Raw genomic sequence first — 25,079 nt, forward strand, 5'->3', positions numbered from 1 at the left:
CATCATCATTATAGAGAATTTGGAAAATGTGTGCTTAGGGGGTAGAATGCAGTTAAATATTGTAGCATATTTGTATCTTCTTCCAGTATATTATTTCTATAAAATACTTATCGATTTTAATTCATAAACTATAGAAAAATAATCTCCATGCCTTAATAGTGGAAGGAATATTTATTGTGAATAAGCAAGAAATGCTTGTTATGAGAAATATTACAGTAAATTATCCTTTTAATCCTTTTAATATTTTTCTAACAAAGCTAATGTTGGTGTTGGTTTTTTTTTAATTGTGGTAAAAAACACATAACATAAACTTTACTGTCTTAATCATTTTTAATTATACATTTCAGTAATGTTAAGTATATTTACATTGTTGTGAAACTAGTATTTTTATTAGTTTATTATTGGTTTATTATTAAGCCATCTCCATTTTTTCTGTGAATTTACTATAGCATAGCTCATAAACCACATTTTTACTTAAATTTTGACTATCATTGTTTCGGAATGTTAAAAGTCAGCATACTGTGAGATAGCTTGTTTTTAAAATTTATACTAGTTTGAATAATGTATTAATTAAGAAAACTAAACAGCTTCAGAGCTGTGTGACTATTAGTTCTTCGAGAACTTTCATGAACACACAGTATCCCTCTAAAGGGAAAATCACTCCTTTTTCCAAGACAAATACCCCTGTAGCAGACTGAATGGTCTGAGGTCAGATGTGGCTAATAATACTCAGCCTGCATATCTCATAGGATTAGAGTAGGAACCAAGGGTTATATGTTGTAAAATCAAAATAAGACATTGATTACTAATATTTATAAAGACATAATTTGAATGCAATCAGATTGCAGCCTAAGGGTCCCATCACTCCTTTGAAGAGATACTTCTCCTAACTTACTTAATTATTTGATTTCCAAAAATGTATTTTATATCCAATTTTTAAGGGAACAAATCTATTTCCACAGTGAAACATCTATTTATAAATTGCAGTATCACCGTTCTTTAAGAGACAAGTATAAAAACCAAACTATAGTTCTGTTGAATTTGCAGACTCTTAAAAATACGATAGCAGATATTTATTTTATGTGGGCATTACATGAGTAATCCTTTATTTTATAACTCTGCTATCACCTTCTGTCCCTTACATTTATCTTTCACTTATCTGTTACTGCATGTTTGCTGTGGGAATTAGGAGACTGGAGAGACCACTGGGTGAAACAGAAGGATTTTATTTAGGTGGCCACCAACTTAGTGGATTAACATCTAAAGGCTGAGCAATGAACAAAGACAGGGCTTGACTTTTATTTATGCTGCTGAAGTGGAGTGGCTAGCCAGTGGCGCAAAATTTGCAGGGCGGGGAAACCAGGCTTGCAGAAGCAGAACAAAGGCAGTTAATTATACTGTGACAGGTTTTTGCAATTTAGGCATGTTTTGTGACTTTGCTGTGTTACAGAGAGAAAAACAGGAACGTATAAAACCTTTGCAAACTTGTAAAAATAGTTACAAAACTAATTAATGAGAGCAGAACAAAGAATGATGGTATGGGGAGAGAATTTTAGGGGGAGACTGATAAGAACTTGTTTTTCTCATACTTGCTTTTGGAACCCATTTTTTGGGGGCCTTTGCCTGGTTTTGCAGATAATGTTATAGCTCCAGCTGGACTTTGGATGTTGATCTGCTGAGTTGGTGGCCGCCTAAATAAATCCTCCTGTTTCACCCAGTGACCTCTCCAGTCTCCTGATTGCCACAACATGTTGGCATTAATCACTAGGAATTTCATTATCTGAACAATGTGTATTATTTGTACAGGTTCTCATCTTTCTGAGAAACTCCAAACTTCTTTGAAAGAGGAGTGATGTCTCCACTTCTTCGACAGCAGTTCATTCCTCTGACTTCTGCTCCAGTCACTCTACTGAAACTCCTCTCAATCAGGTCATCACTGACCTTCTATTTGTTATTTGCTAGCCTCTCTTCGGTCTTTATCCAGCTTGAGCTCTTTCGAATTTGATATTATTAATTGCCTTATCCATCTTGAAATACCTCCATTGGCTTCTGGAATGCCATTCTCCTCTTGGTCCTCCTATTTCTCCAGTTGCTCTTTTTCAATTTAATGGTTCTTACTCCTACATCTAGTCTGAAATATTATCTGCCTGATTCACATCTCTTTGTCTTCCCTTATGTACTTGCCTAGGTGACCTTATCTCATCTATTTTCATGGTTTTAATTACCATGCATGCTGTTGACTACCAAACCAGCCCAGACTTTTCTCTTTCATTCATTCATTTATATTTCTTTTTCAAATTTTATATATCTTATTTATTTTTTATTGCATGTATATATTTCTTTTTAAATTTTTATATATGTTTTTTAGTTGACTGTGCATCTTTTTAAAATAACAGGCAAAATAACATTAGCACATTTAAACTTAATAATAATAATTCATATTATCTAATACGCAATCTGTATTCAGACTCCCCCAGTCTTCCAAACTGTTCTTTAATAAACCTGGATCCAAGCTAGGATTAGTCATTACATCAGGTTATTTCTGTGAAATCTCTTTTACTTCAAAACAGTTTCTTTTTTATGATTCTGACTTGTCAATGGGGAAGTTGTCCAGAAAAATATTCTACCTTTTGGATCAGTCTCATTGCTTCCTTATGGCATCATTTAGCTGTGTTTCCTGGAAACTGGAAGTTGGTTCTATGAGCTTCAGTTAGATGAATATAAGTTAAATATTTATAGCTAGAATTAATCCTATGTAATGTGTATAATATATTGCATCATATTAGGAGTCACAGCATATCTGGGTATCCCACCATTAGTGATGCAGAGATTAACTCTGGTTTAGGGTGGTGGCAGTCTGATCCCTCCAATGTACGGTTAAGTTATATGCTCTATATCAGCCAGTGTTCCTTTAGTATCTATTCTGTGCCAAGTATTGTCCAGAGCTCAACCCATAATAGAAATTCTCCCTATATACCCACGTGTCTCTTAAATGACAGAGAAATCCCGAAAATGCATTATATTAAAAACAGTGTGGTGGTAGTTTCCCAGAAAGAGGACATAGGCCAATTTAAGAGCACGAAAGCTTTGATAATCTGCCCTGCCAGTTGTAAACCCTTAGGTGTGTGGAAAAAACAGTAGAGACTAATCACAGAAGGAGTAAAGCTTAGAAACAATGGCTGTAGGCCAGGTGTGGTAGCTCACACCTGTAATCAAGCACTTTGGGAGGCCAAGGCATGGGGGTTGCTTGAGCCCAGGAGTTTAAGACCAGTCTGGGCAACATAATGACACCCTGTTCCTACAGAAAAAAAAGAAAAAATTAGCTAGGCATTGTAGCATGTACCTGTAGTCCCAGCTGCTTGGGAGGTTGAGGCAAGAGGATCACTTGAGCCTAGGAGTTTGGGGTTACAGTGAGCCATGAGCAGGCCACTGCATTCCAGCCTGGGTGGCAGAGCAATACCCTGACTCAAAAAAATTCTACTGGCCAGGTGCAGTGTCTCACACCTGTAATCTCAGCACTTTGGGAGGCCGAGGCGGGCAGATCACTAAGTCAGGAGATTGAGACCATCCTGGCCAACATGGTGAAACCCCATCTCTACTAAAATGCAAAAAATTAGCAGACATGGTGGAGCGTGCCTGTAGTCCCATCTACTCGGGAGGCTGAGGAGGCTGAGGCAGGGGAATCACTTGAACCTGGGAGGCAGAGATTGCAGTGAGCCGAGATCGCGCCACTGTACTCCAGCCTGGCAACAGAGAGAGACTCCTTTAAAAAAAAATTATTATTAATTAAAATTTTAAAAATTGACATTCTGCAAAAATGCTGATATTATATAACTGCACTACATCCTCTGCCTTTATTCAGAGTGCCCTTAGCATCTTTTTTTTTTTTTTTTTTTTTTTTTCTGAGACAGGGTCTCACTCTGTTACTCAGACTGGTGTGTAGTGGTGCCATCATGGCTCACTGAGCCTAGGCTCAGGTGATTCTCCCACCTTAGCCTCCCAAGTAGCTGGGACTACAGGTGTACATCACCATCCCTGGCTTATTTTTTGTAGAAATGGGGTTTCCCCATGTTGCTCAGGCTTGTCCTGAACTCCTGGGCTCAAGAGATCCTCCCTCCTTGGCTTCCCAAAGTGCTAGGATTACAGGCATGAGCCACCATGCCAAACCACCCGTAGCATTCATAATTTCCTCTCTTTCCTCCTTTCTTCCTTCGGCCCTCTTCCTGACTCCCCAACATAATTTTGAAACTTGTTTCTAGGTCAAAAGTTTAATATTAGTATGGAAAACATTTGAGGTAGAAAAAGTTCATATTAATACTTAGATGCATGTTTGGGCTCAGAAATACTTTTGAACTCTGTAGAGAATTAATATGGTAGCTAACTTAAACAGGTCTTAAATTTCATCTAATAAATACTTGAGTTACCTTTATGTGCCATCTCAGTATGCTAAGTGCTAGGCTTCAACCCTTTTCATCTGGAGAAAAGTAACTTACCTTTCTGCTTGTGATGGGCCTCTGTGCCCCAACCTCATCCCAATTCATGAATAAACTGATATTTACTCTGTGGTCCCTGACTGATGTTTCACATTCCTGACTATTGTTTAACAATCTGATTCTGGGCCGGGCGCAGTGGCTCACGCCTGTAATCCCAGCTCTCAGGGAGGCAAGAGGCGGGAGGATAGCTTGAGCCCAGGAGTTCGAGACCTGCCTGGGCAATATAGCGAGACCCCGTTCTCCAGAAAAAGGAAAAAAAAAAAAAGACAAAAAAAAAATAAGCGTAACAATCTGATTCTGATCTCTAGTACACCTAATTTCCATTTCTTGCCCCTGCTTTACTCCAAATACTGATTTCCATATTTCCCATACCAGCCTAAATATCAAACTTTTAAACTCATGATTGCTTGGTAGTGTGGTTCTGATGCTGCTGCTTTTGCATCCTGTCCTGATCCACATCCTTAGCACCTACCATAATGATTCCCTGGAAAGAGTCATTTCCCCTGATAGATGCTAATTTTCCATTTTGGTAGGCCTGGGCTGCCTACAAAATGAGGTTCCCAAGAGGAAACAAGGATGGCACTAAACTGGGCAAGTGTCTTCTGATATATTGACCATACATGGCAAGTTGTTCGTGTCTATGAAAAAAATTGATGCCCTTTGCCAGACTCCACTGAGCAACAGACATAGCTAAGACTTAATAAGTTCATCATTTTGAGGTTGGAATCAGCCATTAAGTACTTGTCTCTTCTTTCTGCTATCTCTTACCTGATAATCAGTTACTATATAGTGAATATAGGAATCTAATGGCCGTAATGAGGGCAAGCCTCAAGTTCTGTTGAAAACAAATGAGAAGACCAAGGAGTTCTAAATATATTTTTCCTTAAGAAATGGTGTTTGTCATTATTTAATAAATCCCTTCATTCCATATTTTGCAGGTGATAAAACTGAGGCACAGTTAACTCACTTGCTCCTAGTCACAAAGCTAGTTAGAACCACAGCCAGGGCTAGAAGTTAGTGTTCTGAATTCCTATTCCAATCCCACTGAAGAATACTATTCTCCTATATTATAGGATGAGTAGCCTACCATTTATTGTTCATTGTTTTGAACTCATTGAATTGTTTGAATTCATTGTTTTGAACTCAAATATTTTTACATAAAGAGTATACATTGTAAATCTCCCTCTTCTTAACCCTTCAGAGAACCATTGATTCTGCTTTCAAAGGATACCTTTATTACTAGTTTTTTGAACCTCTTTTAGAAGTATTCTTTGTATAGCTGGGCATGGTGGCTCACGCCTGTAATCCTAGCACTTTGGGAGGCCGAGGTGGGCAGATCACCTGAGGTCTGGAGTTCGAGACCAGCCTGACCAACATGGTGAAACCCCGTCTCTACTAAAAATACAAAAATTAGCTGGGTGTGGTGGTGGACACCTGTAATCACAGCTACTTGGGAGGCTGAGGCTGGAGAATTGCTTGAACCCAGGACTCAGAGGTTGCAGTGAGCTGAGATCGCACCATTGCACTCTAGCCTGGATGACAGAGCGAGACTCTGTCTCAAAAAAAAAAAAAAAATTCTTTGCATAGTTGTAGATGAATGCCTCCCTACTTCTTTTATGCAGATAGTAGGGTACAGCACTCACAGTTCTGCACCTTGCATTTCCCACTTAACAGTATCTTGGAAACTGTTCTGTATCATCACACATAGATCTCATTATTATTACTATTATAGAACATTTCAAACTTGTTCTTTTGAAAGAGCTATATGGTATCCTATTTATGGATATACCATAATTTATTTTATTTAATCAATCTCTTTATGGATATTTAGGTTGCTTCTAATTCATTTTTTTGCCATTGCAAGTGATACTTAGTGAATATTCTTGTACATTATCTTTGCATACATACACTGTTAATTTATAGTTTGAATTACTGGAAGTAGACTTGCTCAGTCATAGGATATGTGCATTTTAAATCTTTACAGATATTATAAAAATTGCCTTTCAATTTATACTTCAACAAAAATATGAAAGTGCCTACTTCTGCACTCCTTTGCCAATATAATTTGTTTACATTAGTTTTTGTAAATCTTTGCTACTCTGCAAAGTGAAAGTGGTATCTCATAATTTTCATTTACATTTCCTTCCTTCCTCCCATTTTTTTTTTTCAGGTTCTCGCTCTGGTCGCCCAAGCTGGAGTACAGTGACACAGTCGTAGCTCACTGCAGCCTCAATCTCACAGACTCCAGCAAACCTCCTGCCTCAGCCTCTCTCTCGAGTAGCTGGAACTACAGGCATGGGTCACCATGCCCTGCTAATTATTATTTATTTTTTGTAGAGACAGAGTCTCACTTTGTTGCTCATGCTGGTCTCAAACTCCTGGGCTCAAGTGATCCTCCCACCTTGGTCTCCCAAAGTGTGCATTTACTTTTTTAGTGTAGATGATTGAGCATCTTTTCCTGAGTTTGAAAGCCATTTGTAGGTTGTTGATTTTTTTCTGCAATCCATTGAACTCTAATGTATCCAAATTCTGATTGCAAATAGAAACAAACTCACCAGCTCAAGCATAAAAGGGAAATTTATTAACAGGATACAAGAGGCCAGGCACAGTGGCTCACACCTACCTGTAATCCCAGCAATTTGGGAGGCCGAGATGGGTGGATCACTTGAGGTCAGGAGTTCGAGACCAGCCTGACCAACATGGTGAAACCCCGTCTCTATTAAAAATACAAAAATTAGCTGGGCATGGTGGTGCATGCCTATAATCCCAGCTGCTGCAGAGACTGAGGCAGGAGAATGGCTTGAACCCGGGAAGAGGCAGAGATTGCAAGATCGTGTCACTGTACTCCAGCTTGAGCAACAGAGTGAGACTCCGTCTCAAGGAAGAAAAGGATACGAGAATCAGTGTCTTGTAGGACGTAAGAGCAAAAATTCAATAAGACCTCAAAGAAGACTGGAACAGGCTACTAAAAAGCTATCAGAAACCAAGCTGTGCCTTCTCTCTACCTCTTGCCTCTGCTTTTCTCTGCATGTCTGCATCATTCCCTCCCATTAGTCTGGCAGAATAATATATGTGGCAGAAACACATAGGTTTGGGGTTGACATATTACAAGTTCAGTCAGTCAGAGAGAATGAATCTCTCCTTCTCTTGGGGAGACATAATCTCTGATGTAGCCAGACAACATTTTGTGGATATTTACCTATGGTCATGGGAGCAGAATCACATAGCAGAAATGTGATGACTGAAAATCCCATCCTGTGCTAGGTTGAGCAGATGCCCAATAGCAACCGTTAATAGTAAGGTGGTGGTGGTGTTTTTTTTTCTTTTGTTCTTTCTTAACTTGCAGCAGGGTAGGAAAGGAGCAATATGTTAATTGGAGAAAATTTAGAGAATGGGAGAAGCAAAAAATGCTAATTAACAAATTAGCAAATTTTCAGCTCGAAGAGGTAACATTGTAAACCTTTGGCGTTTTTCTTTCTTTTTTTTTTTTTTTTTTGAGACAAGGTCTCCCTCTGTCACCCAGCCTAGAGTGCAGTGGCACGATCATGGCTTGTTGCAGCTTAAGACTTCCCTGGCTCAAGGGATTTTCCCACCTCAGCCTCCTGAGTAGCTGGGACTATAGGCACGCCACCATGCCTGACTAATTTTTGTATTTTTTATAGAGACAGGATCTCACTGTGTTGCTTAGGCTGGTCTCAAACCCCTGGGCTCAAGTGATCCTCCCCCTGTTTTAGCCTACCAAAGTATTCTCTCTTTTTTTCTGTATGAATTTATTATTTCATTTACAGGGTTGTAATCTATTTCATAGTCTGTTTTTACCAGTTAGTATATGGTGTCTTTCCATAACATGAGTATTCCATAACCCACCCTTCCCAACATTTGTTTTTAATTTTCTACCATTAAGTAAGATGAGCATCTTTGGTGGCTACATATTTAAGCATGTCTGTGATTAGTTTCTGATGATAAATTCTTAGATAATTGCCAATTTTGAAAAGTTGGCATTTTGCGTCTTTTGATCAATATAGCCATTTTCATATAGAAGCAGTCCTACCTATTGCCATTTCAGGTGGAAAGCCTTACCACACAAATTGATACTGTGTCCTCACCAAGTTTAAAAGATCTGGCCGGGAGCCGCAGCTCACGCCTGTAATACCAGCACTTTGGGAGGCCGAGGCGGGTGGATCATGAGGTCAGGAGATCGAAACCACGTGTTAGGAGGCTAACACAGTGAAACCCTGTCTCTACTAAAAATACAAAAGCAATTAGCCGGGCGTGGTGGCGGGCTCCTGTAGTCCCAGCTACTTGGGAGGCTGAGGCAGGAGAATGGCGTGAACCCGGGAGGCGGAGCTTGCAGTGAGCCGAGATTGCGCCACCGCACTCCAGCCTGGGCGACAGAGCGAGACTCCGTCTCAAAAAAAAAAAAAAAAAAAAAAATTCACTAGATGTGGTGGCATGTGCCTGTAGTCCCGACTACCTGGGAGGCTGAGGTGAGAGGCTCACTTCAGCCAGGAGTTGGAGTTGCAGTGAGCCACAATCTCGCCACTGCACTCCAGCCTTGGCAATAGAGTAAGACCTTGTCTCTATTTGAAAGAAAAACAAAAAAAGAATTAATGAAATAGAGTGACATGGCATTCACTCTCTAGAAATAGATTACATGGGTGTCCAGAATTTTATTTATGCTATACTATCATCTTTCCTGCCATTTTGTTTTACTTGCCATTATCAGCTGGAGTAACCTATTTCCTTTAAGGCCATTAGCTCCCTGCCTGAGATAAGTATTTCTCCAAGCTCAAGAAATAATGCTTTTATTGGGTTAACAGTCCGTGATGAGAACATCAGATATATCTAATTAAGCTAAAAACCATTTGGTTGCAAATAGGATATTTAATACAGGCAAAACTACTAGCTTGCTAATCCTTTCAGATAGACACACATTCTAGCAGACATTGAAGTTACCCTTTATTTATTGGTACTAAATGTTTTAGCAATTAGCTTCTCATGCTGTTTTCTCTTTCTGTTCCAAAGTACAAAAACAGATAACATATGTTTATTGGGCTAAGAAGTCTTGAAAAAGGCAAGCGAGTTTAAGCAAAGGGAAAGTATAAACCAAGTAATGTACAATAAGGAAAGGATAAAACAAAATCCTATGATATATAATCATTACTCTGGATTTTATATTAAGACAGAAGTGATTTAACTTCAGTGACTAGCAGTGTTTGTTTTGATTGATTAATAAATAAGACTTTGAGGAATATCACCTTTTTTGAGGATTTGTCTTAGATTTTAAGTGTGTTTTAGGAAATACTTATATGGAAAGAATGATAGATAAGTCAGTAGTTATACTACTAAAGTATCTGGTGCTGTGCTCTCTTTATTTTTAATACTTTTATTTTGGAATTACTTGGAAAATAGTAAATATTACTGATAATATTTAGGTCCTTCTGTTAATGTTTTACTAAATACTAGGTAAAGGTTATATAATTTCCTGGATTCCTAAAAGTACTTTTGTTTGCATGTATAGAGAAAATTCTTTTCTCCCATATTTATTTCTGATTTTATAACGGAAAAAGTATGCCTGGCATAGAATAGGTACGTGATTTGGTTAGTTGACATAGGTCTGAGTAAATGTAGCTAGAACAGCTCTGTTAAAAGAGACACGCCAATATTGCTTGTTTTTTCCTACTGTAATTGTGTAACAGCACACTGACTAAAATTACAAATCAGTGTCCTGATGTGGGTTTTTTTTTCCCCTCTATAAGTAAGAGAAGAAGGATTGTTGGCATTTTTCTTTGTGAGACTTAACTTGTAGCAACCATAAAATGTAACTATAAAACATTTTCATTTAGATTATATTTGTGAAAAATATAAAAGCTAAAGAATTTTAAAATTCCTAAACTATCAATTGAATTTTATGAACAAAAAATTGTGGATAAGCTTTTGGTTATTCCTGTCTCTATTTTAAATCTAAAAAATGAGAGAAGCCAGTGATTAACAGAAACATTAGAATTCTTTTAGTGGTGTTAAATGCTGTTTTTTGCATTCTAAAAATAGCTCAGGCTCATTATTGGTTTGGAAATTTGTAATGATAGAAATGGGGGGAGCCAAACAATTCAGAGACAACTATCTTTAGCATTTTGGTATATTCTTTCCAGATACATTTTTTAGATAGTATTGAATATGCCTAATGTACAGTTTTTCATCTTGCTTTTCTCCTTTAACATTCTTGTTATAAACTGTTAGCCTTTTTAGTGATTGCCCAACATTTTGAGTTGTATTACCTTAATTTACTTGACTTTGTATTTTAAAAACTAATTTCTGAACAAGTACATATACATATTCCTTTAAAGGGTGCTTGGATTATACTATGAATTAGTTTTTTAGAACTAGCAAGCTGATGAAAGAGCACCATTTTCCTACAGTTAGAAAAAAATGCATTATCTTACCTTGTGTGGTTATGCGTATCTGAATCACTGCAAAACTGCATTTGAAAGTCATCCTTAATATTGCCAGGATTCTGATTGGGTTAGATAGGATCTTTGGACTTTTTTACAATTTTCAGGTCAAAACCAATAGAAAAAAATAGCAACAGAAATTTTCTGTGGAATAATGATGTCACTAGCTCCCCTATAAACGTTCTCAAAGTAAGTAATTTCCAGGCTGTACCGTTTGGCACATGCACAGAGAAGAAACTTAACTGTTTATAATAGTGCGTGGTTTGTTTTTAGAGTTTTAAGAAAAAATCTGGAGTATATTTTAATGTAATATTATTATATTATTTATGTACGCTAATAATTATTATTTTAGGTCCACTGGCTATTCTGAGGTGATAGTTGTCGTTGGAGGATGTGAGCGAGTTGGAGGATTTAATCTTCCATACACTGAGTGCTACGATCCTGTAACAGGAGAATGGAAGTCTTTGGCTAAGCTTCCAGAATTTACCAAATCAGAGTATGCAGTCTGTGCTCTAAGGAATGACATTCTTGTTTCAGGTAAATATAGAATTATTACAGTAGCTACTTTTAATTTGGACACAGCTTCATTATTTTAAACATCAACAGTGTCTTAAAATAGTGAAATGTGAATACTCCCACTTGAGGAAGATCAGTTTACAACAAATAAAACCAAGAATGACTTTTTGCTCTTAAAAACAGGTACAAGGCCAGGCGCGGTGGCTCACGCCTGTAATCCCAGCACTTTGGGAGGCCGAGGCAAGCAGATCACCGGGTCAGGAGATCGAGACCATCCTGGCCAACATGGTGAAACCCCATCTCTACTAAAAAATACAAAAATTAGCCAGGTGTGGTAGTGGGCAACTGTAGTCCCAGCTACTCAGGAGGCTGAGGCAGGAGAATCACTTGAACTCGGGAGGCGGAGATTGCAGTAAGCCGAGATCGCGCCACTGCACTCCAGCCTGGTGACAAAGCAAGACTCCGCCTCAAAAACAAAAAACAAACAAAAAGCAACAACAAAAAAAACACAGGTACAAGATGACATGGAATGATTTACAAAAGATCCACCAGAAGATACCTTTAATCATGTCATATTTTAAATGCTCTCAAATGCATGTAGAATATGCTGTAATTTTTTAAACTTTACCTCTTTGCAAGTCAGAAGTACTCATAGAATTAAGCATTTCTAATTCACCCATGTTTTCTGAAATTCTCCGCAAAGTTTATGAAATAAGATTTGCTTTAAAATTCTTAACTTGAACTTCTTTATGATTGTGATATGTTACCTTTAAAATTAGAAAATAAAATGACAGACTTGTACAAAGTATAACTATAGTATCTATGATGGGAAGTCTGTTAATTGGTAAAATAATTTCACCAGCTTTGCAGATTATTATATATATTATCCACACTGAGAAATATAACAATACATACTTTATTTTTTACAATAGTATGCTTTTTGAAAAATCGGTCAATTAAAAAAAAAACCTTTAGAATAATACCATTATTTGCGTGCTTCTGATGTCTTACTCTTAAATTAACAATCTTTTATGTTTGTAAAATTCACATCCTATATTTAATTATTTTGGATCTATAATTATCACTTATCAAGATAACAATTGGTAAAGTTTAAATTTTCTCTGTAGAACTATTTCCATTAAATTTCAAGAGGTCTTTATTTATTGAGCTGAATTCTCAAATTCTTGAATTAGATGAATGAATTCCATGTTTTCTTTACCTATGCCTTGGTGGCACAGATCTCTTGGTGACAGCTATATCATGATAAATTATCGTGTGTGCATTGTTTTGCATTTCAAGGTGGAAGAATCAACAGCCGTGATGTCTGGATTTATAACTCACAGTTAAATATTTGGATCAGAGTTGCCTCTCTCAATAAAGGCAGATGGCGTCACAAAATGGCTGTCCTCCTTGGTAAAGTAAGAGAAACCACTTTTTATTACTATTGCTGGTACCTTTCCAAAGTAAATACCACAGCTGAATCTTTCATTTTACTCACCCTCTGGGTATTTTGGATTCAAATTGTATTTCCTTCCATTTCTAACCTCAATAGATAAACCAAAGATATAAACAATATGACACTGTACTTTTGAATGGATATTTTGTTCTCCTAATTTGGAATTCATGGCAGTGTAGCACATTTCTCTTCTCATGCATCACTGAAGTCCAAATGCCTAAGAAGCATTGGAAAATAAAGGAGTTACATCAAATACAGACAGGCCAATGTCTAACCCACGCAGTTTGTTTTCTTTTTACTAACTTTGCAAGTCAGGCAGAGATATATTTGTCCAAAGTCATGTATTTTATCTTTTTTATTTTAAATAAATATTAAGATAAACTCACTAACAGGCCAGGCACGTTGGCTCACGCCTGTAATCCCAGCACTTTGGGAGGCTGAGGCGGGCAGATCATGAGGTCAGGAGATCGAGACCATCCTGGCCAATGTGGTGAAACCCCATCTCTACTAAAAATACAAAAAATAAGCTGGGGTTGGTGGCGGGTGCCTGTAGTCCCAGCCACTCAGGAGGGTGAGGCAGGAGAATCGCTTGAACCCGGGAGGCGGAGGTTGCAGTGAGCCAAGATCGCACCACTGCACTCCAGCCTGGCAACAGAGCGAGACTCCATCTCAAAAAAATAAAAATAAAAATAAAAAAACTCACATTTTTAAAGAAAACCTATTTTTGACTGCAGCTAATGATTATTATAAACAATACATTATTTGGGTTCTAAACCATCTACTGTCTGTAGGAACCTGAGAATCAAACTTTTTTTTTTTTTTGAGACAAGGTCTCTTACTCTATTGCCCAAGCTGGAGTACAGTGGCATTATCTAGCTCACTGCAACTTCTGCCTCCCCAGTGCAAGTGATTCTCCTGCCTCAGACACCTGAGTAGCTGGGATTACAGGTGTTCGCCACCACACCTGGCTAATTTTTATATTTTTAGTAGAGGCAGGGTTTCGCCATGTTGGCCAGGCTGGTCTCCAACTCCTGAGCTCGTGATCCTCCCACCTCGGCCTCCCAGAGGGCTGGGATTATAGTTATGAGCCACCGCACCTAGCCAGTTTCCAAACTTTTTAAAAGCAACTACAGGTGGAGTTTCCAAAATGCTTGGGACCAGAAGTGTTTCTGATTTTGGATATTTTTTTTTTCTTTTGTTTTTAGACAGGTTCTCACTCTGTTGCCCAGGCTGGAGTACAGTGGTGCCATCACTGCTCACTACAGCCTTGACCTCCTGGACCCAAACTATCCCTTCTACGTCAGCCTCCCAAGTAGCCAAGGCCACAGGTGTACACCACAATGCCTAGCTAATTTTGTATTTTTTGTAGAGATTGGGTTTCTCCACATTGCCCAGGCTGGTGTTGAACTCCTGGGCTCAAATGATCTGCCTGCCTCAGCCTCCCAAAGTGCTGGGATTACAGGCATGAGCCACTGCACTGGGCCAAATATTTTGGATTTTTTTCATATTTTGGAATATTTTCATTATATTCATTGAGCATCCCAAATCAAAAAATCCAAGATCTGAAATGTTCCAATGAGCATTTCCTTTGAGCATTAATGTCATCACTCATAAAGTTTCAGATCTGGAACATTTTGGATTTCAGATTTTTTAAGATTTGGAAAGTTCAACCTGTATATTGTCTTTTAAAAAGTCATATCTAATACAAAAATTTATTACATAACAGATGAAAATACAACAGTTGTACCAAGGATTACCTTGGAGTCTTTAGCTTCTCCCTGCCCCCATCTCCATCTGCTTGTCCAAAACCACCTCAAATTAATGAACAACTAAAAGCAGCACACTTGCTTTCGCATATGTCTTTGACTGATCTCCTAGCACCCCTTTCTAAGAAGATTGCTGTCTCATAGGCCCTCCTATGGAGACAGTTAAGTACCACCAATAAAAAAACAAAGCTCTAGCTGAAACAGAAATGGTGACCAGGAACCCTTCTTGGTCAGCCTCTTACTAGTCCTCCTTCCTCTCTTTCCCCACAGGGGTTTCTTAAAACTTCTATACTAGGCCAGTCGTGGTGGCTCACACCTGTAATCCCAGCACTTTGGGAGGCCAAGGTAGGTGGATCACGAGGTCAAGAGATCGAGACCATCCTGGCCAACATGGTGAAACCCTGTCTACTAAAAATACACAAATTAGCCGGGCATGGTGGTCCGCACCGGTAGTCCCAGCTACTCGGGAGGCTGAGGCAGAAGAATCGCTTCTGGCGGAGTTTGCAGTGAGCCAAGATTTTGCCACTGCAGTCAGCGTTCTGTTAGGAATCTAATTGCACAGCAGTAGGTGAGCAGCCACTGAGCGAGCTTTACCGCCTCAACTCCACCTCCTGTCAGATCAGCGCACATTAGGTTCTCATAGGAGCATGGACAGCACATATGAGGGATATCTAGGTTGTGGCTGCTTATGAGAATCTAATGCCTGATGATCTGAGGTGGAACAGTTACATCCCCAAACCATCCCATCCCCGACCAGTCCCCCACCAGCCCCCCACCCAGACCTGTGGGAAAATTGTCTTCCATTAAACCGCTCCCTGGTGCCAAAAAGGTTGGGGACTGCTGCGTAGAATACTAGAGCTTCTCAAAACAGTTTATATATTTTTATTTTTTGAGATAGGGTCTTGCTGTGTTGCTGAGGCTGTAGTGCAGCAGCACAGTCATGGCTCACTGCAGCCTGGACATCCTGGGCTCAAGTGATCCTTCTACCTCAGCCTCCCTAGTAGCTAAGACTGCAGGCACACACCATCACACCTAATTTTGGTATTTTTTGTGGAGATAATGTTTTATCCTGTTGCCTGGGCTGGTTTCAAACTCCTGGGTTCAAGCCATCCTCTTGCTTCAGCCTCCCGAAGTGCTGAGATTACAGGCATGAGCCACCATGCCCAGCTCAAAACACAGTTTAAAAGCTGTTAATTCCTAACGACCTGGATCTAGTGTGCTGCTGCTGTCTACAAGGCCAATGAAATAATGAGGACCTTGAGACAGATTTACTGGAAATAAAATATTAATAGAATCTTTTCTAAAACCATTTGGTTTGTTAGTACTTACTATATTATATATAGTGTTTGAGGCTGTGCCTCAAGAAGGACAAAATATTACTGGAAAAGAGGGGCTAAAATAATCCAGGGGTTGGAAGGAGATGCTGATACAAAGGCAAATGAAAAGTACTGATGTCTCAAAAACCATGTATGTATTGGTAAACTCAAATTTATTTGACAAAATAGTGTACTTGACTTGAAGATACCCAAAGCTTAGAAGCACTAAATCAATAAAGAAAAGGAATCATTCCTACCTTACACAGCAAGTACTCAATTCATGGAAGTCATTTTGCTAAAATTACAATATAGATTTAATTCAAGCTTATAAAACATACTTAAATTTATAAATACTCTGTTTAAGGAAACCTGGGATGGTTTAGAATATAGAATCTTAGGGGAGCACTCCCCAGTGTAACTTAGAAGTGTGTCTTAGGCTGCAATCCTCAAGAAAAAATAAAAAATTACCGGGTGCGGTGGCTCACGCCTGTAATCCCAGCACTTTGGGAGGCCGAGGCAGGCAAATCACAAGGTCAGGAGTTCAAGACCAGCCTGGCCAACATGGTGAAACCCTGTCTCTACAAAAATACAAAAAATTAGCTGGGCATAGTGGCGGACACCTGTAATCCCGGCTACTTGGGAGGCTGAGGCAGGAGAATCACTTGAGCCTGAGAGGCAGAGGCTGCAGTGAGCTGCCTGCTGCACTCCAGCCCGGTGACAGAGTGAGACTCTGTCAAAAAAAAGAAAAGGAAAAAAATCTTAGAGTAGGAAGGGATGATGGAATAATGGAGAATATTTAATATAACTTGGTCATCTTATAAATAACCCCAAAGAGATCAAGTCACTTCCCAAGATTACACAAAAAATGATAAAGCAGAGGCAAAAGCTCAGACTTTTCTTAATCTAGAGGCCTTTTGTCTTGATGCTCATGGCATGTATTATATTTTAATTTACACATGTAGGAATACGTATTAAAGTTTAATCCTCAAAATTATGCCATGTGATAGATACTATGATTGTCTACATTTTAAAATTGAGGAAATATAGCCAAGCATGGTGGCGGGCACCTGTAATCCCAGCTACTCAGGAGGCTGAGGCAGGAGAATCCCTTGAAGCCAGGAGGCAGACATTGCAGTGAGCTGAGATCACGCCATTGCACTCCAGCCTGGGCAACAAGAGCGAAACTCCGCCTCAAAAAAAAAATTATAAAATTGAGGAAATAAATTTGAGTCTCCAAAAGGGTAGATAAATTGCCCTTACATTGGATGGCAGAGCTGGTGATCAAAGCCTGTGCCCTTAATTGCTACATCGTGCCACAGGTTCCATACTCCATATAGCTGTGTGGACTTTTGTAAGTTACTTAACCTGTCTGAGCTGCATAGTGTTGGGGACACAAACTCACCAACAGATTATTTTAACATAATGTGAGAAATGCATGATAGAAGTGGCATTGAGTACTGTGGAAATTTGGGGGTGCACAGAAAGATAAATTGTGGACAAATTTGAAGGACAAGTTATGAAATGTGGCCTTGACCCTTAGACATTCATTGTTGAAATATTAAGAGGAACTGATAAAGTATTTTAGGAAGAATAATCTGTGGTTTAGAGAGAACAAGAGTGGAGGCCAGGAGGTTATTTGAGAGGAATGAAATGTTGTGGACCCTCAAGTGGGTGATGGCAGCGGGAAACGTAAAGGAAGGGGTATATGTGAAAGATGCTGTGGAAGAAGACTCAGTGGGACTTAATAGTTAATTAGCTATGGAGGGAAGAGTTAATGATGACAGTCCATTAAGAGAAATGTGAGCTGGGCGTGATGGCTCACGCCTGTAATCCCAACACTTTGGGAGGCTGAGGCAGGAGGATGGCTTGAGAGTGGGAGAATGGCTTGAGGCCGAGAGTTAGAGACCAGCCTGGGCAACAGAGGGAGACCCTGTCTCTGTGAAAAATAAAAATAAATTAGTAGGGTGTGGTGATACACACCTGTGGTTTCAGCTACTTGGGAGGCTGAGGTGAGAGGATTACTTGAACCTCGGAGGTTGAGGCTGTAGTGAGCTGTGATCATGCCACTGCACTCCAGCCTGAGCAACAGAATGAGACCCATCTCCAAAAAAAGAAAAAGAGAGAGAGAGAAACGTGGATGTTAAGCTGCTGGAGAGCTTTGTTAGGTTGAAAGTTCCCTATATAAACCATGGATTTTTTGCATATAAGCCATTTAATAAATATCTTACTGATTGGTTCACCTGTCATATAAAGATACTAATTTGCCCTACCTTTCTCTTATTTGTGAAAAGAAAATGTACATAAAAGCTCTGTGAACTTTAAAGTTCATTTTGTGTCAAGTACTTTTCTAGGTATTGTACGGACTAAAAGAAAGGCCTGACCAGCACTCTCATAGTCTAGTAATTCTTTCCTAATATTTTAGTTTCACAGCTCTAATACTTTATAATAATCAAATATTTCATTACCCATAAGTGTGAATATTTAAGCTAAATTGTACCATTCTCAGTGTGAGCAGTATTACCCCCAAGGGGGCAAAGATTGTTTCTTAGAAGATGAAAAAAAATGTACCCTTTCTTGTGTAAAGAACAGATATACATACATTAAGGTAAATAGATACACAATTTCTCTGTGGTATTACAATTTTATTGAGGGAAGACTATTAGGAAGAAAATACCTAAAAAGGCTCCGTGGATTGTGATGGTGGTAGGGGATGATGATTTTTTAAAAGGTTCAGAAACTCTGAGCTAAATATATTGCAATTATATTTATTTAGCAAGGGCATTTTAAAGAGAAGAGATCCCTTAATTCTTTAGCCAACTACTTCAAAATTCAGACTTTTGATAATTAAGATTTTTCCATGTATTTTACATATAGGTATATGTTGTCGGTGGCTATGATGGGCAAAACAGACTTAGCAGCGTAGAATGTTATGATTCCTTTTCAAATCGATGGACTGAAGTTGCTCCCCTTAAGGAAGCCGTGAGTTCTCCTGCAGTGACTAGCTGTGTAGGCAAACTGTTTGTGATTGGTGGAGGACCTGATGATAATACTTGTTCTGATAAGGTAAGCCATGCACTTTTAAAGAAATTACCAATATTAAGTACAAGAAGGGAAATACAGAAGGCTTATCAAGTAGGTAGCCAGGTCACATAGTGTGAGGGGTCTTTTAAAAATTTTCTGGTACTATATGCTTTTGGAGAAAAACATTGAATTCTGGGTTGCTAAAGTGAGACTCTAGTATATCTAACAATTTGCTCTAACAAATGTGATCCAATCTTTTTGAAATGAGACTATCTGTGTAGAAGTTTTCTACTAAATAAATTGTTCTGAGCCTTTGCTGTCATCTACAAAATCTAAAAACTATTTATACAAAACACAGTTGAGAAGTGAATTAGCAAAGGGTAAGACATAGTAACTAAATATGCTGCTTCCAACTGGGTCATTTTCTACATACTTTTGAAGTATTTTTCAGAAAAAAGGAAAGGAAACCTCCTTAGTGTAAATAGAGGATGGCTCAAAGTTGTTCCGGTTCAGTAAACTTCTGGGACGAAAGAATATGTGCTATCCTGACATCTCAGGAAATGTTTATTCTGGAAAAAAGCATCTAATGCCTAGCTGGTTTAGCACTGTTAACTGAATTTTGTCAGTCTATTAATTCTTTTTCTAAATTCAGTTTAAAATAATGTGATCAAATGTTACTTATTTAGAATTTGTTATTTCAGAATTTGTGATAATTCAGAGCATACTGATTGAATTGAGGTTTACTTGTTTTCTTTTGAAGAAAGGACTCCCTAAAAGCATTAAGAAGTTATATTCAGATGTGAGGCATAGTTATCCTACATAACACAATTGTGAAAAGATTTAGACTGTTAATTTTAGTGGACAAACCTGGTGGCCATTCATTCTAGAAACAATCTGTGTGTTTGGTACTCTATTCTGCTTGATAGTAATAAATTTGCATTTTATTTGAGAATGTTCGTAATTCAGACATTTCACTATCAGGCTAACCTCTCTTAATTCTCTGAATTAATAGGATTTTATTTTAAATAATGTTTGTAGGTATTGGTAGATTCTTTATTAAGTACATTTCCATTTTTGTTTAGAAATTTTAATTATATATTTTTATATGTTATTAGGTTCAATCTTATGATCCAGAAACCAATTCTTGGCTACTTCGTGCAGCTATCCCAATTGCCAAAAGGTGTATAACAGCTGTATCCCTAAACAACCTGATCTATGTTGCCGGTGGACTGACCAAGGCAATATACTGTTACGATCCAGTTGAAGATTACTGGATGCACGTACAGAATACATTCAGCCGTCAGGTAATAACATAAAGCAGTACAAAAGAAAAATAAATCTAAGAGGGACCAAGTACATAATCATTATTAATACACTGGAATTTCAATTTTAAAATATTTCAGGCTGGGCGTGGTGGCTCACGCCTGTAATCCCAGCACTTTGGGAGGCCGAGGTGGATAGATCACTTGAGGTCAGGAGTTCAAGACCAGCCTGGCTAATATGGTGAAACCCCGTCTCTACTAAAAAATTATGGCCAGGCGTGGTGGTTCATGCCTGTAATCCCAGCACTTTGGGAGGCTGAGGCAGGCCAATCACCTGAGGTCGGGAGTTCGAGACCAGCCTGACCAACATGGAGAAACCCCGTCTCTGCTAAAAATACAAAATTAGCTGGGCGTGGTGGCGCATTGCCTGTAATCCCAGCTACTAGGGAGGCTGCGGCAGGAGAATTGCTTGAACCCGGGAGGTGGAGGTCGCGGTGAGCCGAGATCGAGCCATTGCACTCCAGCCTGGACAGCAAGAGCGAAACTCCGTCTCAAAAATAAATAAATAAATAAAAATAAAATAAAATAAAATAAAACAAAATAAAATAAAAAATTAGCTGGGTTTGGTGGCACACGCCTGTAATCCCAGCTGCTCAGGAGGTTGAGGCGGGAGAATCACTTGAATCTGGGAGGCAGAGGTTGCAGTGAGCCGAGATCATGCCACTTGCACTCCAGCCTGGGCAACAGAGTGAGACTCCGTCTCAAAAAAGTAAATAAATAAGTAAAATAAAATATTTCATGTTTGCTTGAATTATTTTATATATTTTTCAAAACTCCACATAAAGCATATGGCAACCTGTTTTGAACTCCTTCCAAGGGGTCATTTTATTGAAATAACTTCCTTTTTACCATCCCATGGAGAAGTATCTGTTACACTTGGGCTGTTCTTTTTTTTTTCTCTTGACTTTTTTCACAATCCTACTCCAGTATTTATCCCCTCTCTTTCATATTTCAGAAGAGAGGAATGTTCCCAAACTTGTTGTTTCTTTGGTTAGAGGCTGGGAAATCTGTTATTTCTGTTGTAAAGGAAATGGCTGTGCTCACCTTTCTTTCATCCATGTATTCTAACCGGAGCCCTACTCCCTACCCACACTGCCACCTCCCAAAAGGCCTTTTCCCCACCTTTTGATTCATGGCTCCTTTTCCTTCCACCCCCAAAATGCTTGATGGTTCTGATGCTGAAAATCTGGCTCTACACATACCACTCTAGAGATGTACTCTCAAAGGTCACTGCTAATAATCTCCTCACTCTTGTTCATACTCTCTTGTTTTTCTACCCAGTCCTTAAATATGTTCCTTGAGCCTGTCCTCTGTCCTCTTCCCAGTTTATACTCTTTCCTGAATCATCTCATTTACTGCTCAGCACTGATGTCTTCCAAGTCTGTATCGCCATCAAAGCCTCTCTCCTGTGTTCCAAACTCAAATTTCTAACTGCCTATTTGATATTTTATTTGATATTTTACATGGGTATTTCAAGATTTTAAATTTCAAATAGAACTCACCTTCTTCCCCAAACCTGTTTTTTCTATATTTCCAATTAACCTAGAAACTTAATTTATTAGATTATCTTTTTCTTCTCTTAAATTGAATTAATCTAGCCTATCAGTTCTCCTATTTTTTCCATTCCTATTGTTTCTATTTTTGTTCAAGTTCTTACCAAGTTTTACCTAAACAAACAAAAATACTCTAATTAGTCTTCCTTTCTCTAATAGCTTGTCTTGCTAGCTCATTTAGCATCAATTTTCTTTCTTTCTTTCTTTCTTTCTTTCTTTCTTTCTTTCTTTCTTTCTTTCTTTCTTTCCTTTCTTCCTTCCTTCCTTCCCTTCTTTCCTTCTTTTCTTTCCTTCCTTCCTTCCTTTCTTTCTTTCTTTTTTTGAGACGGAGTTTCACTCTTGTCACCCAGGCTGAAGTGCAATGGCGCGATCTCCACACACTGCAAACTCCGCCTCCTGGGTTCAAGTGATTCTCCTGCCTCAGCCTCCCGAGTAGCTGGAATTACAGGCGCCCACCACCAAGCCCAGCTAATTTTTTGTACTTTTAGTAGAAACGGGGTTTCACTATGTTGACCAGGCTGGTCTCAAACTCCTGACCTTGTGATCCACCTGCCTCAGCCTCCCAAAGTGCTGGGATTACAGGCATGAGCCACCATGCCCAGCCTATTATTTTTCAATAAATCTACTTATTGTCTCTTCTTTGATTGGAAACCTATTAAATAAAATCCAAAACTTTTACCACTTCATTCTAGACCTTCTATTGCCTGACCTTCATTTGACCTTTCAGCTTCACATTCTATAACTTTACCTCAGGTACCTTAAGTATCTGTCATTTGTAGTCTCTAAACAGATCATAAATGTTCTTGCCCTGGTTCATGCTGTCTTCTTATCCTGTAATGCCTGTTTTACCTTCTCTACTTGTAATTCTACTTATCTTTCAAGGACCACTTCAGTACAACAGAGTTTAACTGGGGCAGAATGGATCTATTTTGCTTTCTGATCTGTTAAAGCACTCATACCTCTTATGGCAATTGTATATTCCCTTATGGGTATAAATGTTTATTTCCTATACTAGAATTTAGTCTTCTTGAGGACACTATTTCTTCTAACTCATCTTGTATGTATCTTGCATTTATTTCTGCATAGTAAATATATATATATTGAATAAGTAAACAAATGAGGAAGTACCAGAGGGACTTAATTTTAAGATAATCTTATTTGCAAGATACATTAGAGATACAGCATAGATTATAAGGATAGTGAATAGGGTTTGAATATAAAACCACTTTTCTAAAGTTGTTGACATTGAGGTATAGTCTCCAATTAGTAATATATATGCAGTAACATTGCCCCAGTTAATGAAAGGGACATAATAGGCACTTCAGCTCCATGGTACAGAATGAGTATTACGTTTTCTCCCTCTCATATCACATGTAAGTAAAAATAAATCACATTTCTCCAGCTCAGGGACCTCCCCTGGAAAACCATTCTCCAGCCCTACAGAAGCGACAGTGTACCCTACTTGCATGAGAATCCTCATGTGGTCAAGTATTGAGACTTATTTCTAATTTTTAAAAAATCTAAGCTGCTTTTTATTGGTTTATTTCAGTGAAGATTGTAAAGAATGATGCATTTTTATTAAGAATTACTGCTCAAGCTGGGTGCAGTGGCTCATGCATATAATCCCAGCACCTTGGGAAGCTGAGGCAGGAGGATCACCTGAGGCCAAGAGTTAGGGACCAGCCTGGGTGACACAGTGAGACCCTGTCTCAAAAAAAATTTAAAAAAAAAAGAAAGAAAAAAGAAAAAGAATTACCATTTATTCGGAACTTTGCTATATTGTATAAAACGATAACAGTTTAGGAAGATAATTGCCAGTATGTAGCATATTGCAGGGCATACATGAATATTTTTTAACTAGGTTATTGAGATAAAACTGAGAAAAAAATTAATAATAGGACACACATGGCACATTTTCTCTAATTAAACAACATTCATTGACTTTAGAAATTTAAAGAAAATAAACATTTGGATCAGAAGTATATTAAGTCTAACAAAGACAAATAATTGAAGTTCAAATCTAGTACTGGGATTTAGGTGATTATTTTCTCTCCTCTGTTTATTGTTACCACCAATGCTACTAAATACATCTATGCACACATTGATCTCGGCTCACTGCAACCTCCGCCTCCCGGGTTCAAGTGATTCTCCTGCCTCAGTCTCCCAAGTAGCTGGGATTACAGGCGCATGCCACCACACCCAGCTAATTTTTGTATTTTTAGTGGAGACAGGGTTTTGCCATGTTGGTCAGGCTGGTCTTGAACTCTTGACCTTAGGTGATCCGCCTGCCTCGGCCTCCCAAAGTGCTGGGATTACAGGCATGAGCCACGGCACCTGGCCTTATGCACATGTTATTGATAGGTAATTTTTGAGCCGTGTGTGATTGTTTACCCTTTTAATGCCAACCGATGAAAAAGGATAAATCAAACTAATTTCATTGTATACAGTTAAATGAACCCAATACTGTTGCTTTTTAAAATGCTTAGAATATTAAATGCAAAAAAGAGCTGAAAAAAATGAGGTCTTTATTTTTTATAGTCCTAATGGACCCTGCCTATTTCTCTGTTTGTCCTTCACCATTTCCACGCCTCTTCTGACTTTGCATAATTCCTAAAAACACAGCTTATTATTCAAAACATATTTTGCTTTTTAACCTGTGTCAGGAACATCCTTTAAAAAAAATTGTGGGATTTTTTAAAAAGTCAGTGATGAAGACTTTTTTTCTCTCTCTTCAGTAGACCAGGTATTTAAAATACCATTAAAGATTAGAATAATTAAATGAAATCTGATTCTTTTTGTCTATTGTTGACAGTTTAACATTTTAAGCATACAAAAATAACGAGAGGGTTTTTTGGTTTTTTTTTTTTTTCTTTGCAATGTTAGGATCATGTTTCGTTTCAGTCTTTAAAAATAACATTAAAACTTTATATATTGATAAATTATTGTTCCTACTAGCTGCCCTTACTCCTGAATGAAGAGTAAGTTTTTCATACAGTATAAACAAACAGAGTAAATGGTATTTTACTAGCATGAAATAAGCTATTATATCGGATAGAGGTAATTTCCTGATATGAATACTTGGTTTCAAGGTTCTTTGCTTTATTTAACTCTGAGCATTATTATCTGAAATGGTATTAATTACCAGACCATGTAATTATATATTGTTTTAGAATCATCCTCAAAA

General features: G+C 38.3%; 1 protein-coding gene across 28 annotated transcripts in view, besides 1 other annotated feature; it reads left to right on the forward strand.

Annotated features, from left to right (window-relative positions):
* The window catches only part of KLHL24 (kelch like family member 24), a 48,897-nt gene that overhangs the window by 16,538 nt on the left and 7,280 nt on the right, over nt 1-25,079 (forward strand). For 13 of the 28 annotated variants that reach the window (XM_047448372.1, XM_005247552.3, NM_001349424.1 and 10 more), the window contains 4 exons: nt 11,298-11,482; nt 12,761-12,879; nt 18,874-19,062; nt 20,136-20,324. In XM_047448372.1, the coding sequence (XP_047304328.1) occupies nt 11,298-11,482; nt 12,761-12,879; nt 18,874-19,062; nt 20,136-20,324 (682 nt within the window). Of the gene's footprint in view, nt 1-1,806; nt 1,930-11,297; nt 11,483-12,760; nt 12,880-14,953; nt 15,029-18,873; nt 19,063-20,135; nt 20,325-25,079 lie in introns of those variants that run through there. The other 15 variants (XM_047448371.1, NM_001349418.1, XM_017006655.2 and 12 more) reach the window with 4 other exon arrangements.
* Nucleotides 14,554-15,062: an enhancer, noted in NCBI's record as "NANOG hESC enhancer chr3:183384502-183385010 (GRCh37/hg19 assembly coordinates)". NCBI's record gives its function as "activates a minimal SCP1, AML or CMV promoter by ChIP-STARR-seq in naive H9 embryonic stem cells {active_cell/tissue: H9 hESC(naive)}" and the evidence as "EXISTENCE:reporter gene assay evidence [ECO:0000049][PMID:30033119]".

The sequence above is a fragment of the Homo sapiens genome, chromosome 3 (genome assembly GCF_000001405.40).
Source record: "Homo sapiens chromosome 3, GRCh38.p14 Primary Assembly".
In the NCBI taxonomy this organism is placed as follows: domain Eukaryota; kingdom Metazoa; phylum Chordata; class Mammalia; order Primates; family Hominidae; genus Homo; species Homo sapiens.